The 16,403-nt window shown below is 37.6% G+C and overlaps 1 protein-coding gene across 9 annotated transcripts in view, besides 1 other annotated feature; it reads right to left on the bottom strand.

The window, feature by feature from the left end:
* The window catches only part of LUZP2 (leucine zipper protein 2), a 585,586-nt gene that overhangs the window by 331,008 nt on the left and 238,175 nt on the right, over positions 1-16,403 (bottom strand). For all 9 annotated transcript variants that reach the window (NM_001009909.4, NM_001252010.2, NM_001252008.2 and 6 more), the window contains exon 4: positions 13,329-13,410. In NM_001009909.4, coding sequence (NP_001009909.2) covers positions 13,329-13,410 — 82 coding nt within the window. The remainder of the gene's footprint in view (positions 1-13,328; positions 13,411-16,403) is intronic.
* Positions 3,494-4,693: an enhancer, noted in NCBI's record as "MED14-independent group 3 enhancer chr11:24768484-24769683 (GRCh37/hg19 assembly coordinates)". NCBI's record gives its function as "activates an origin of replication core promoter dependent on BRD2, BRD4, P300/CBP and CDK7 cofactors, and independent of MED14, by STARR-seq in HCT116 cells {active_cell/tissue: HCT116}" and the evidence as "EXISTENCE:reporter gene assay evidence [ECO:0000049][PMID:35650434]".

Raw genomic sequence — 16,403 nt, 5'->3', positions numbered from 1 at the left:
ACCCAGGATAGAAAACTTTGAAAGCATAGAATGCTCTTAGGGGATCTAAGGGAGATGGGGTGGGTACTACGACTCCACCCTTCCTCACTCCCATTACTTCTCATTCTAGCAGGGCTTTTGTACTGCACTGATGTTACCTTGATGACAGGAGAGGCCTGAGCTGTTGCCATTGATTTCTAAGGGGAAGGGACAGAAGGTGATACTCTCAAGGAAGAGTGCAGAAAAGGAGAGCAGAATCTACAGATGACCTTCAGCCTACTCTTGCATGCCTCCTACTGCGGCCCCCTGACTCAACTAATCACAACGATCTCTTCCAAAGACATATATATTCATTTCTGTGAGTCATCTTTCTTTCCAGGAATCACTCATTATTTCGTTTGTTGGGTTTTTCGCATGCTTCTTTTTTAATACTTCAGTTCATATTTTCCTTTAACTGCTATGATTTTTTAGCAGTTATCATTTGGGGGAATGAGTTAGCAATGGCATCAGTTTCTCATCTTGGTAGTAACAATATAAATATGCATTTAATGAATGATTCTGATGATGATGAGTCAAAAAGAAAATGGTTTATTCCATATTTTCTAGTTCTTAATGAGGATTAATAAGTATTCTTGGAATGAATGATAAGCTGTAAGTTTCTGGTAAAATCACAGCATCGGACATGGCCACTTTCCATATATTTTGATTATAAAAGTGTAGAAAGTCAAGAATATCATTTAAAAATAGATTAGAGGATTAGAGTAGAAAGTATGAATATATATCATGCACAAGATTAGTATATGTCACTTATCTTTTTCTTGGTTGACAGTATATGGAAACATTAATATATTTATACATGTATGTGTATATTGTACTGGATGTGATTAAAATGCATTTCTACAATAATGGTTCTAGTAGGCATGGAAGACTTAAGTAGAGAGAAGAGAAAGTTGAGGGATATTTTTAACTTCTACTCATAAAAAAAGTTGCCAAACAACTGAATATACAGTTTATTTAAATACCCTTCTTGAGGAATGACTCCAAAGTGAGCCTATTTAATATTTTGTCTTCATATTGGTTTTTGAATACATTATTATAAGTTACCAACTGGTAGAATATTTGAGTAATTATAATGATGATTCTATATTCTTAATTTGTTTAACATCAGCTGTGTTTTACAATATGAAGATATACTATGGTCAAAAAACCTTGCTTCTACAACAGATTTTAAAAATTGTGTTCATTCTTCTTTCTTTCCCCTATTGGAAGATATAAAGAGGCAAGTATAATGCAAATGATGCAGTATTCATAGGGATGCCTGTGTTACTGCACCATATACAAAGGTCCTCCTAGGAAGACACTAAGTCTGTGGAAGTCAAGATGGAGACCTGAGAGATCTCTGTGGAGTCTTTAAGAAAAGTCTCATTAAATGCCCCAGTATTAAGTAAAAGAGTGGGCATTCATCTGGGTAAGAAAGGGATAACAATCTATTTTCTAGTTCTGATGTTCACTTCCCCAGGTTCTGAATAACATCCAGAGTATTCTGACAAGTCAGATAAAGTTTTTATCAGCCTCTTGGTCTAGAAGATTCCAAGTAGATAATTCTTTTAAGGGACTGTATTAGGGTTCTCCAGAGGGACAGAACTAACAGGATACATGTATATATGAAAGGGAGTTTATTAGGGAGAATTGGCTTACAGGATCACAAGGCGAAGTCCCATGATAGGCCATCTGAAAGCTGGGGAAGAGAGAAGCAGTAGCGGCTCAGTCGGAATCCAAAAGCCTCAAAAGCTGGGAAGCTGACAGTGCAGCCTTCAGTCTGTGGCTGATGGCCTGAGAGCCCCTGGCAAACCACTGGTATAAGTCCAAGAATCCAAAGGCCAAAGAACCTGGAGTCTGATGTCCAAGGGCAGGAGAAATGGGAGGAGGCATCCAGCCCAGGAGGAGGTGAAAGTTAGAAGACTCAAGGGTCTGTCTATTCCTATTAACTTCTAAAAATAATTTTGAAATCACTTATCAGTCTATATCTGTATATGTAGGTATCTGTAAACCAGCTTATCCTACCTTCTTCTGCCTGCTTTGGTCCAGCTGTGCTGACAGCTCATTGGATGGTGCCGCCTACATTGAGGGTAGGTCTTTCTCCCCCAGTCCACAGACTAAAATGGCAGTCTCCTCTGTCAACACCCTCACAGACACACCCAGAAACAATACTTAAACCAGCTATCTACGTATCCTTCAATCCGATCAAGTTGTCACCTAATATTAGCCATCACAGGGGCGTATAACCAAATAACCAGAAGAGGCTCCTAGTGGGAAAACAAGGCTTTTGACTTTAAAGCTGTTTAAATGTACTCACTTCTGCTCTTCATTCTCCATTCTCTCATCTCCTTTTTTATCTTCTTATGGCAAAGACCAAAGACCACCAAAGTGGTCTCTTCTGATTTGCACTTTGTGCCAGCCCAGGTCCGATTCCCTTTGAAGTTGGTTACTTGGAAATTTTGGCCTCTACTGTAAGCTGTTTCTATAGTAATACATACATTTTCTAACTACATCCTTAGAAGGGGGTATGGCTATGTACATTTGTTAACGTCAAGAAAGGAGTGAGATATGCCCTCTGGTATTACTTTATATCAACTATCTATATCAAGATTTCCATTTCTAATTGAAGGGTTACAAATTATATGTAATTTTTAAAATGTTTTAATTTTCTAAAAAGCATAATGGATAAAGAAGACTCTTTTGTTGAAATATATTACTCTTCTTTTCCTCTCTCATTTTCCTCACGCAAAATCACACACAAATATTCCCTTACGTATGTGTATGTGTGTATATTTATAGATACCTACATACATAAATATATACTGATATGTGATTTTTAAATTATTTTTTGAAGTCAGCTGGGTGCAGTGGCTCATACCTATAATCCCAGCACATTGGGAGGCCAAGGGGGGCAGATCATGAGGTCAAGAGATCAAGACCATCCCGGCCAACATGGTGAAACCCCCTCTCTTCTGAAAATACAAAATTAGCTGGGTGTGGTGGCACGCGCCAGTAGTCCCAGTTACTAGGGAGGCTGAGGCAGGAGAATCGTTTGAACCTGGGTGGTGGAGGTTGCAGGGAGCTGAGATCGTGCCACTGCACTCCAGCCTGACCACAGAGCAAGACTCTGTCTCAAAAAAAAAAAAAAGGAAGTTAACAAGAATAGACACACCCTCTAAAGGAAGCAAACTGCTCCCGCAGAACCCAGGAGACACCCCAAATACTGTGAGTACCCAAACCGTGGAATTGGGAAAGGGAGACCCTCGGCTCCTGAACACACACCCTGACTGTGGAAACTGAAGGAGCAGTTTGCAGGAAAGGTTTCCAACCTTACCTGGAGCTGAGTCAATTTAGAGAGCTGAGCAAAATATAGGGGTAGAGAAAGCAGTGGGAAAGGCCCTGGGAGCTCACTGCGTCCCCAAGCAGGCCATTCCTGCCTGGCATCACAGAGAACCTTCAGGAGGGGTGTCAGGGGAAACACCACAGGAAGTAGGAAGTCTCCAGTTGAACTCTGTAATAATTAGAATTGGATAAGAAGCCTCCTGGTTAGAACTGGGGGAAGGGTACAAATCCAGCTTGCAGACTCCACAGGAAGGGGAAGAACAAAGCCCTTTTCTTTCAAAGCTGGAAGGTGGGTAGCCTGGGGTAAGTTCTTAAGCTCTGCTCACCTACCACCTGGAAATAGACTTAGGGCTGTTAGAGGGGACACGGTGGGAGTGAGACCAGCCCTTCAGATTGCGTGGAAGCTGGGCGAGGCCTGTGACTACTGGCTTTTCTCCACTTACCCAACAACCTGCATGACTCAGCAGAGGTAGCCATAATCCTCCTAGGTACACAACTCCAGTCACCTGGGAACCTCATCCCCATCCCCCACAACAGCCACAGCAAGACCCACCCAAGGAGAGTCTGAGCTCAGACATGCCTAGCCCTGCAGCAACCTGATGGTCCTTCCCTATGCACCCTGGTAGCCTGGTAGTGGAAGACAAAGGGCATATACTCTTGGGAGTTTTAGGACCCTGCTCACTGTTGGTTTGTCTCCATACTACCACAGCTGATGCTCTCTGGAAAGGGCCTCGTGCTGGCAGGAGGCCAACCAGTACAAAAATAGAACATGAAACCACCAGAGCTAAGAACCCTCACAGAGTGCATTCACCCCCAACTGCCACCTCCACCAGAACAGGTGCTGGTATCCACAGCTGAGAGGCCCATAGATGGCTCACATCATAAGACTCTGTGAAGTCAGCCCCCAGTACTGGCCCAGAGCTAGGTAGACTTGCTGGGTGGCTAGACCCAGAAGAGAGATCACAATCACTGCAGCTAGGCTCACAGGAATGAACATCCACAGGAAAACGAGAAAAGTACCACATCAAGGGAATACCCCATGGGACAAAAGAATCTGAACAACAGCTTTCAGCCCTGGACCTTTTCTATGACAGAGCCTAACAAATGAGAAGGAACCAGAAGACCAACACTGGTAATATGACAAAGCAAGGCTCTTTAACACCCCCAAAAAATCACACTAGCTCACCAGCAATGGATCCAAGAAGACATCCCTGATTTACCTGAAAAAGAATTCAGGCGGTTAGTTATTAACCTAATCAGGGAGGCACCAGAGAAAGGCAAAGCCCAGTGCAAGGAAATTCAAAAAGTGATACAAGAAGTGAAGGGAGAAATATTCAAGGAAATAGATAGCCAAAGAAAAAACAATCAAAACTTCAGGAAACATTGGACATACTTATAGAAATGCAAATGCTCTGGAAAGTCTCACAATAGAATTGAACCCGTAGAAGAAAGAAATCCAGAGTTCAAAGACAAGGTCTTCCAATTAACTCAATCCAACAAAGACAAAGAAAAAAAGAATAAGAAAATATGAACTAAGCCTCCAAGAAGTCTGGGATTATGCTGAGCAACCAAACCTAAGAAAAATCAGTGTTCCTGTGAAAGAAGATAAATCTAAAAGTTTGGAAAACCTATTTGGGGGAATAATTGAAGAAAACTTCCATAGCCTTGCTAGAGAACTAGACATTCAAATACAAGAAGCACAAAGAACACAGGGAAATTCATCACAAAAAGATCATCGACTACACACATTGTCATCAGGTTATCTAAAGTTAAGATGAAGGAAGGAATCTTAAGAACTGTGAGACAAAAGCACCAGGAAACCTATAAAGGAAAACCTATTACTTTAACAGCAGATTTCTCAGCAGAAACCCTACAAGCTAGAAGGATTGGGGCCCTATCTTCAGCTTTCTCAAACAAAACAATTACCAGCTAAGAATTTTGTATCCAGTGAAAGTAAGCATCATATATGAAGGAAAGATGCAGTCTTTTCTGGACAAACAAATGCTGAGTGAATTCGCCACTACCAAGCCACCACTACAAGAACTGCTAAAAGGAATGCTAAATCTTGAAACAAATCCTGGAAACATCAAAACAGAACCTCTTTAAAGCATAAATCACACAGGACCTATAAAACAAAAATACAATTTAAAAAGCAAAAACTTAAAACAAAAAACACCAAGTACATAACAGCACAACGATTGAAATGGTACCTCACATCTCAGTACGAACATTGATGGTAAATGGCCTAAATGCTCCACTTAAAAGATACCGAACTGCAGAATGGATAAGAACTGACTGGGCACAGTAGCTCATGCCTGTAATTCCAGCATTTTGGGAAGCCGAGGCTGGTGGATCACCTGAGGTCAGGAGTTCAAGACCATCCTGGCCAACATGGCGAAACCCCATCTCTACTAAAAATACAAAAATTAGCCGGGTGTGGTGACTTGTGCCTGTAATCCTAGCTACTCAGGAGGCTGAGATAGGAAAATCGCTTGAACCCAGGAGGTGGAGGTTGCAGTGAGCCAAGATTGTGCCACTGCACTTCAGCCTGGGTGACAGAGCAAGACTCCATCTCAAAACAAAACAAAACAAAACAAATCAAACAACAACAACAAAAAGCTTGCCAACCAATTGACCATCTGCTGCCTTCAGGAGACTCACCCAAAACATAAGAACTCATATAAACTTAAAGTAAAGTGGTAGAAAGGGCAATTCATGAAAATGGACACGAAAAGCAAGCAGGGGTAGCTATTCTTATATAAGACAAAACAAACTTTAAAGCAACAGTGGTTAAAAGAGACAAAGTGGGACATTATATAATGGTAAAAGGCCTTGTCCAACAAGAAAATATCACAATCCTAAACATATATACACCTAACACTGGAGTTCCTAAATTTATAAAATAATTACCGATAGACCTAACAAACGAGAAAAACAGCAACACAATAATAGTGGGGGACTTCAATACTCCACTGACAGTACTAGAAAGGTCAAGACAGAACGTCAACAAAGAAACAATGAATTTAAACTATACCTTGGAACAAATGGACTTAACAGATATATACAGAACGTTTCATCCAACAACCCCAGAATATACATTCTATTCAACAGCGCATGCAACTTTCTCCAAGATAGACCATATGACAGGCCATAAAACAAGTCTCAATAAGTTTAAACAAATTGAAATTATATCAAACACTCTCTCAGACCACAGTGGAAAAAAACTGGAAATCAACTCCAAAAGAAACCTTCAAAACCATGCAAATACATGGAAATTAAATAACCTGCTCCTGAATGAGCACTGGGACAAGAATGAAATCAAGATGGAAATTTTAAAAATCTTCAAACTGAACGACAATAATGACACAACCTATCAAAACCTCTGGGATACGGGAAAGGTGGTGCTATGAGGAAAGTTCATAGCCCTAAATGCCTACATCAGAAAGACTGAAAGAGCACAAACTGACACTCTAAGGTCACACCTCAAGGAACTAGAGAAACAAGAACAAACCAAACCCAAACCCAGAAGAAAAAAGGAAATAACCAAGATCAGAGCAGGACTAAGTGAAATTGAAACAAAAAACAACCAATACAAAAGATAAACAAAAAGCTGGTTCTTAGAAAAGATAAATAAAATTGATAGAATATTAGCACGATTAACCAAGAAAAGAAGAGAGAAAACCCAAACAACCTCACTAAGAAATGAAACAGGAGATATTACAACTGACACCACTGAAATACAAAAGATCACTCAAGGCTACTATGAACACCTTTATGCACATAAACTAGGAAACCTAGAAGAGATGGATAAATTCCTGGAAAAATACCACCCTCCTAGCTTAAATCAGGAAGAACTAGAAACCACAAACAGACCAATAACAAACAGCAAGATTGAAATGGTAATTAAAAAATTACTAACAAAAAAGTCTAGGACCAGATGGATTCACAGCAGAATTCCACCAGATATTCAAAGAAGAATTGGTAACAATCCTTTTGGCACTATGCCACAAGATAGAAAAAGAGGGAACCCTCCCTAATTTATTCTATGAAGCCAGCATCACCCTATTACCAAAACCAGGAAGGGACATAGCCAAAAATAAAACTACAGACCAATATCCTTCATGAACATAGACACTAAAATCCTTAACAAAATACGAACTAACTGAATCCAACATATCAAAAAGATAATCTACCATGATCAAGTGGGTTTTATACCAGGGATGCAGGGATAGTATAACATACACAAGTCAATACATGGGATACACCACATAAACAGAATTAAAAACAAAAATTCCATGATCGTCTCAACAGATGATGCATTCTCTGTTGAATGCTCATCAGAACAAGCATTCTCCAAAACCCAGCGTCCCTTTATGATTAAAACCTTCAGCAAAATCAGCATACAAGGGACATACCTCAATGTAATAAAAGGCATCTATGACAAACCCACAGCTGACATAATACTAAATGGGGAAAAGTTGAAAGCATTCCCTCTGAGAACTGGAACAAGACAAAGATGGTTCACTTTTACCACTCCTCTTCAACATAGTGTTGGAAGTCCTATCCAGAGCAATCAGAAAAGAGAAAGAAATAAATGGCATCCAAATTGGTAAAGAGGAAGTCAAACTGTCATTGTTTGCTGATGATATTATCATTTACCTTGAAAACCCTAAAGACTCCTCTGAAAAGCTCCTAGAACTGATAAAAGAATTCAGTAAAGTTTCTGGATAGAAGATTACTGTACACAAATCTGTAGCTCTTCTCTACACCAACAGCGACCAAGTGGAGAATCAAATCAAGGATTCAACCCCTTTTATAATAGCTGCAAAAAAAGTAAAATACTTAGGAATATACCTAACCAAGGAGGCAAAAGGCTTCTACAAGGAAAACTACAAAACACTGCTGAAAGAAATCACAGATGACACAAACAAATGGAAACATATCTCATGCTCATGGATGGGTAGAATCAATATTGTGAAAACGGCCATACTGCCCAAAGCAATCTATAAATTCAACACAATCCCCATTAAAATACCACCATCATTCTTCTCAGAATTAGAAAAAAACAATTCTAAAATTTATATGGAAACAAAAAAGAGCCCTCATAGCCAAAGCAAGACTGAGCAAAAAGAACAAATCAGGAGGTTCTGCACTACCTGATTTCAAACTATAAGCCCATAGTCACAAAAACAGCATAGTATTGGTATACAAATAGGCATATAGACCAATGGAAATCATAGTGAACCCAGAAATAAACCCTAATACTTAACAGCCAACTGATCTTTGACAAAGCAAACAAAAATATAAAGTGGGGAAAGGACACCCTTTTCAACAAATGGTGCTGGGATAATTGGCTAGCCACATATAGGAGAATGAAATAATCTTCATCTCTCACCTTATACAAAAATCAACTCAAGATAGATTAAGGACTTATATCTAAGACCTGAAACTATAAAATTTCTAGTGGATAACATTGGAAAAACCGTTCTTGACATTGGCTTAGGCAAGGCTCTCATAACAAAGAACCCAAAAGCAAACGCAATAAAAACAAAGATAAATAGTTGGGACTTAATTAGACTAAAGAGCTTTTGCACAGCAAAAGGAACAGTCAGCAGAGTAAACAGACAACACACAGATTGGAAGAAAATCTTCATAATCTATACATCTGACAAAGGACTAATATCCAGAATCTACAACAAACTCAAACAAATCAGTTAAAAAGAATCCCATCAAAAAGTGGGCTAAGGACATGAATAGATAATTCTCAAAAGAAGATATACAAATTGCAAATAAACATATGAAAAAATGCTCAATATCATTAATGATCAGGGAAATGCAAATCAAAATCAAAATGCAATACCACCTTACTCCTGCAAGAATGGCCATAATCAAAAAATCGATAAACTGTAGATGTTGGCATAAATGCAGTGATCAGGGAACACTTTCGCACTGCTGGTGGGAATGTAAGCTAGTACAGCCACTGTGGAAAACAGTGTGGTGATTCCTTAAATAAGTAAAAGTAGAACTACCATTAGATCCATCAATCCCACTACTGGGTATCTACCCAGAGGAAAATTAGTCATTATATGAAAAAGATACTTGTACACTTATATTTATAGTGCACAATTCGCAATTGCAAAATTGTGGAACCAACCCAAATGCCCATCAATCAACAAGTGGATAAAGAAATGGTGATATATATATATATATATAATTATATTTATTTTTATGTATTTATATATAAAATATATAATTATATTTATATATAATATATACATTTATATATAATATATAAATGTATATATTTATATATAATATATAAATGTATATATTTATATATAATATATAAATGTATATATTATATAGAAATATATATGTATATAAATATATATTTATAAATATATATACATTTATATATTTATATTTATAAATATATATAAATATATATCTATAATTATAATTAACCATAATATATATATTAACCATATATATATAATGGAATACAACTCAGCCACAAAAAGGAACAAATTAACAGCATTTGCAGTGACCTGGATGAGATTGGAGACTATTATTCTAAGTGAAGTAACTCAGGAATGGAAAACGAAACACTGTATGTTCTCACTGATATGTGGGAGCTAAGCTATGAGGACGCAAAGTTATAAGAATGATACAATGGACTTTGGGGACTTGGGGGAAAGTGTGACTGGGGGGCAAGGTATAAAAGACTACAAATAGGATGCAGTGTATACTGCTTGGCTGATGGGTGCACCAAAATCTCACAAATCACTAAAGAATTTCCTCATGTAACCAAATACCACCTGTACCCTAATGACCTATGGAAAATAAAAAAAGAAATTAACAGGAATACCAAATAAAAAAGAAATAGTCTGCATTTAAGAAAATGCAAGCCTTTGGTGAAAAACCTCACCATCTAGTAGTTTTTAATAACAGTAAAAATATCACTGTGTTGCCCCTGATCACTGACAGACAGGTAATATGTCTGATTCCCATAAAGACACCATTTGTAAGTCTCTGAGAACCCGAGGTCACTCTCAAACATTTCAATGCTGGCTTTTAAGAATAGCCATTGAAAATCTATGCAGCAGTATGCAGAAATTGCAAAACAAAATTATTTTGAATAGTAATGTAAATAGAGTTGAGGAAATAGAACATCCTAAAGTATGAACAATTGAATATATTATTTTAATAGTCCTTTTATTAGGTATGCATTCTGTCATCGCTGATAATTCTTACCACAATATTATCATATAACAAAGGTTTTAAATGGTTAGGAAGAAAAAATACTAATAATGATGATGATTATGTGATACAACTTAGAAGTTGCTTATAATTGATTACATCTTCTGCTCAACAGTGCATGCATCATCTCATATAACCACCAAATAACCTGTTACATTAGTACCATTGACATACTTCTTACAATGAAAAAGCCTCAGAGAAATCAAATGACTTGCTTATATTCATTCAGCTAACGGATGAAGATGAAATTAAAATGGGAAGTGCAGAAGGAAGGGGAATGACTTTAGTTTAATGTCTACTATCAACTACATGCCAGATATAATTTTAGAGAGATTATGTACATTAATTTAATGTGAATAACCCCTTAAATGTGATAATGAGGAAACTTGCAGAAGTTAAAAAGCTTGATCAAGTCTGGTAATGAGCTAGTAAATTTACAGAATTAGTACATGGCCTACTAGAAATTTAAATCCCAAACACTCTTACTCTGAAGCACATATTAAGTTATGAGTTTCTTTAGGAAGTTTCTGGTTTAGTGAAGAATTTTGGGGGGAAAGAGAAAGCTTCCCTCAAGATCCAGTGTTCAGCCATAAGGAAGGCACTGCCAGCACGCTGAGATGAAGGCAAAGGTGACTCAGTCTACATTATTTGTCCATGACATTTGTCATACTTGGATATTCTAACTTTGGTTTGTGCTCTTTCAAAAGTTATAACTCTCTTCTTTTCGGATCTCAGACAGTTTGCATAATCTACTGGAATAATTATGAGTTCATGCCTTAGCTTATAGCTGTGCAAATACAAGCTAGAAACACGTTATTTGAATTACTCTTTTTCAGTAAAGAAACAAACAATGTAGTTTTATTATGAGAACCAGAGAAAATAGTCTGTGTGAGCACTTCTATTCTGCTCTACCATTGTTTGTCATTAGGCTATGAAGAAACTCAGATTAAATATGATTAGTCACGGCAGAAATGTGATTGCAATTAGGACCATTCAGTAAGCTAGGTCCGGTGTTGGGAGGAGGGATCGACAAGCTGATACTAAAAATATGTCTATTCTTTTATGTAACATTTGGTATCCAGTGAGCCAGACTTTAGGCCACATTTCAGGTGAGCAGTGAGAGTTGCCGTGGCATAGCAATGAACCCACATGCCCGTCCTAACAGGTGAACAGAACAGATAACAGTGAATCCTTACATGAAACAGTTTTGTACTTTGAAAAGTCAACAATCATTGTTGGAAAGGCTGTTCCTGAAATCAGCTGTTGCAGATGACAGACTGGACTGAGTTTCAGAAGCAAAACTCCACATTTTAATCAAGGTTGTTAAAGGAAGTTTTGTAAAAGAAAGGCAGGCTGACTGTGTTTAGAGAGCCTAGGATTCCAGGTAATTGACCTAAATGGAGATTTAGGCTTCACCACGGTTTTAGCTTCTGTAAATCTGATGCTTTAACATTTGTTCTTCATGGATGTGCTGGATCAGCCTTGCTCTGAACAACCCAATCATATGCTTGAGCCACCCTGCCTTAGTTCTGGACTCTCTCATTGATGCTCCAACGTCTCAGAGGTGAGAAGTCCTCCTCCCAGAGACACACTTTTCAAATACAAACAACCAATCGAAAAACAACACTCCTAACTGCCCCCCTTTTATTATCTCAGGCCACTGTGGAGTTGCCCTAATCACCTTAGGGACAGGTTATAAGTCAGGACAGCTGCTATGCCCCAAAGCCAACCAAAAATCACTCAAACTGGCCAATCCCAAGCCCATTTATCCGATCCCAAGCCCACTTATCCTGCCTCACTTGTTCATTGCCTCAGAAACCACAACAAAGCCTCTTACCCACAGTTTCCTCCTCTCCCTCTGCCTCATGAACAGCCTGGGTGCCTCCCCGTGTGGCCCCTCTGTGGTGTGCAGCTAGAACTGTGAGAAATAAGCTATGTTTTCAGTGGGAGTCTTTCCTGATCTGTTGACCTTACCATACCTCATATGTTCAATTAACACACTATATTTTAAAACAGACTCAGATCTTGAAAACAAGATATAAGGTCCAATCCCTATACATGGTGCGTAAGGTGGCTTTGGGGAATACAGTAGAAACCTAGTTTTCAGCATGGCTCTCAGAAACACCATCCCTCCTGCCTGTGGTAAATATTCGTAGTAAGAGCTGAAACGGTGGGGTCAAGGGAACATCATTTCGGGTGAGAAAGTTTGTTTCATACTTTATTTCTCACAATTCTTGCTGTCAGGAGAGGAGTTTGATTCATCAACTTTGGGGATGCATTAGAATAACCCGTGGGATGGATTAAATAGATTCCATGGCCCTGCTCCTGAGAGATCCTTATTCAGTGGATGTGGGGTGCGACTTAACTATCACTTAGCTTAATTTACTTCACAGTCAGTGACGTCCCACAATGTGAGAGCCACTGATGAAGCCCTGACACCAGAACTCTTGTCCCACTCTGTCCTTTAGTTTCTCATTCTTTAAAGTAGGCTGGGAATTAGACGACCCCCTAATAATGAAATAAAACACTAACCTTTTCCAGGAATGAAAGCTGACCAAGTACTATTCTGTTCACATTGACTGATGCTTCTTTTATTGTCTTTTCACTTTTATTTTTTATAGGTGTGTTTGTTCCATAGTGATTTTGGAAAAAGAAAGTAACAATGTCCCAGCCCAAAAGCAAAAGGCACAAAGAAGAAACACACTTACAGTAGCCTGGTGTTTTTCTGCTTTCTCTGATGTCTCCTTAAGCTGATTTTGCAGGGCCTCCTGAAGAGACTTCATTTCTTCTCTATTTTAGTAGAAAACAGAGCATAAGTGAGAAAATAATATAATTCCATTATTTCCTATGAACATTATAAAAGGAAGGAGCTTTGCTGTATACATTTAGGACATAGACAACTAGAAGTGCATAAAGCCACAGTTAAGCATACAGGATGTGTCTAAAGATTCTGGTAATAAAAGGCTTTCTCTCCCATGCAAATATTAAAAGCAAGTTGATTTTTTTTTAAATAACCTTACTATTATGCTTTATAAAAATCCCACGTTTGAATCATCTGTGAGGCACATGATGTGTTAAATCAAAGCAATATATAATTCAAGTTGAAAAGATAATTTCACTAACAGCATACTGGGGTATGAACATGCTGGTTAGAAAAAGTCACCATAGACTTGCTGATAGGATAAAATTACTGTTCCCTTCTGATGCTCTTAATTAATTAATTCTAAAGCATTGTGCTTTATACATCCTTTGTAAGGCCTGACATCTTTTGTAAAAACAGGGAAAAGAAACTTATTTTAACTTAAGGCCTGTCTCATTTAATGAAGATAATTTAAAAATGCATGCCTATGCATATATACTCATTGTGTCTCAAGCTCAGTAGCACATAAGGATCCTGTCTCCCTTTTTAAAAAGAGTGATGTTTCCCTAAATTTGCATTTCTCTTAAGGATTTAGGATTTATTTATTTATAACACATCATATTATCTTTCTGTGCCTTGATTTTTTTTTACTCGAGCTATCACCTCAAATAGATCAGATATTAGATAAAGGCTAGTGTACTTGTTTGTGTTTGTATGTGTGGCAATTCCTGGCTACAGAAATTCTCTCAAAGCAATAGCAACAACAAAATAGAAACCTATTTGAGTCTTACCAGCACCTAAACTAATTTAAAACTTCCAATCTAGTGCCAAAAGATTAGCTCTGGATATTTGAGCAAGTGACACACCCTCTCATACTCAATTTCTTCATCCAAAAACAAGGGCACAATGGTAGAACTAACTTATAGGTTTGTGCTCATATTAAGACGACAGAACGTAAGCAAAGCACTTAACACAATGCCTATGAAAGAATTCCTTAACAAATGTTAGGTCATGGCAATAACCACTGACATCTCTCCACACCCTTATGTTCATTCTCTGACCATGATGTTCTACACAACCATAAGCTGCTCTTTCACCCAGCAGGACTTAATGGGGCTGCCAGCTTAATTAGCCTTGAGACTGATGTCCAAGTCCCAATTTCAAGAATGAGAAAGAAAGTCTGTCTGTTTTTTGTAATCATTTTGGACTTTGGTTGACAAATCAAAATATAGTGAGAACAAGTTATAGAATAATTACAGTCACTTTGGTTTTTAAATGATTTATGCCTTCTTGGGTGATGCTTTTAATGTGCTTGAAGTGGATTCTGAGTGACAGCTTCCATCACTGTCTCAAACTGGTTTCATTTATCAGACTTTCTTCATATATGGACATATAAAATCTGGGCTTCCATTATTATTTCTGATATTTTCCATAGAGTGTTTGTAGTATAATATAATATATACCTACATATATTGTAGGCTTACAATGTGCAAGACACTTTTGTAAACCCCACACCAAACTATGACTTCATGTTATGACAGATAACAAATGCATAGAGGGGTAGTGAAATTGTGTTTTAGTGTCTATATGCTCAAACTATAAAGAGTTACTATACTATCTCTACTGAGAAGGAAGGAAGGAAGGAAGGAAGGAAGGAAGGAAGGAAGGAAGGAAGGAAGGACCTACATGTTATCCCAAACACTCAAATCTTCAACAAGCACTGAGTGAAACACAATAAAATTATATTTCCTACTGAAAATAAAGTTATAATTAAAATGACAAAATAATAAATTTTTAAGCAATTTTAATTTAAAATTCTCATTTTTATTTTTAAAAGATGGTCATAAAACACTTAAAAATTAAATAATAAAGTATGTTTTATTAAAATGACAATGAGTATGTATGAATATTTTTACAAATATAGATAGATAGATAGATAGATAATGTATGTGTGGGAGTAGGTATCTATCTATATATTTCTTCCAAAAAAATCCCCCATTCTGACATCTAGAGGCAATCTAGGGAACAGGACAAAAAACAAATTGTAAAATCTGGAAAAGATAGAGAATTCTGAATATTTTCCTGCCAAAGAACACTATCAGGCAGAAAGGTAAAGTAGACTTTTTGTCTTCTATATCTCTTCATCTCTCCTTCTGCCTTCTTTCTAGGCTTATGTCTTCACATGCTCACTGCTCTAGTGCTTTAGCTAGCTATAGATTTCTGCTTCAAAGACTTGCTAAGTTATCCTCCTATAGAGATGATTCCTGACTTGCCTCTGCACCACTTCCCAATACCAACTGAGATTTGCCCAATCTATATCTGCTATTCTAGGGCTCTGTTTGGTACTAAACTGAAACTTTAATTCTAAAAAATTCCTGGCTCGAGTGACACCTGTGATAGATAGCTCAAATATTGAAATATTTCAGCATAACATTTTGTGTTACAAAGAATTTTAAAGGACCATTATTCCACACCTCTTTCATCCCAAATTATAGCTATAAAAACACCCTCACCTTAATCACTCTACAAAAAGGCATTTCTTTCTAGTGACTATCAGCTTATATTTTAATAACATCACAGATCAAGAACTTGCCACAATTCCAGGCTTTGTTTTAGTTTTCGAGAACATTATTGTAAAGTGCTTTAGTATACCGAGTCCAAAACTGCCTTCTGGGAATCTACCAACCAACCACCTTAAAGAATAAAAGGTTTTATTCTCTTTTGCTCAAGGACATTTTCAAATTTTCAGACATTTCAGGGTCCTGTCCTATTTCTTATTCTCCTTGTTGTGGTTATATATTCTCAGTCCTGGCATGGTATGGTTTAAAATCTCTCCATTCACCTGGGGAATCTCCTATGAATATTATCAAGGCTGTGTAAATATTCCTGAAACGTGACGCTCAAGCCAACATGACTCTCATTT

This window comes from Homo sapiens, chromosome 11, assembly GCF_000001405.40.
Source record: "Homo sapiens chromosome 11, GRCh38.p14 Primary Assembly".
Lineage (NCBI taxonomy): Eukaryota > Metazoa > Chordata > Mammalia > Primates > Hominidae > Homo > Homo sapiens.
Note: the sequence above shows the minus strand (reverse complement) of the source record. Positions and strands in the feature narration are given on the sequence as shown.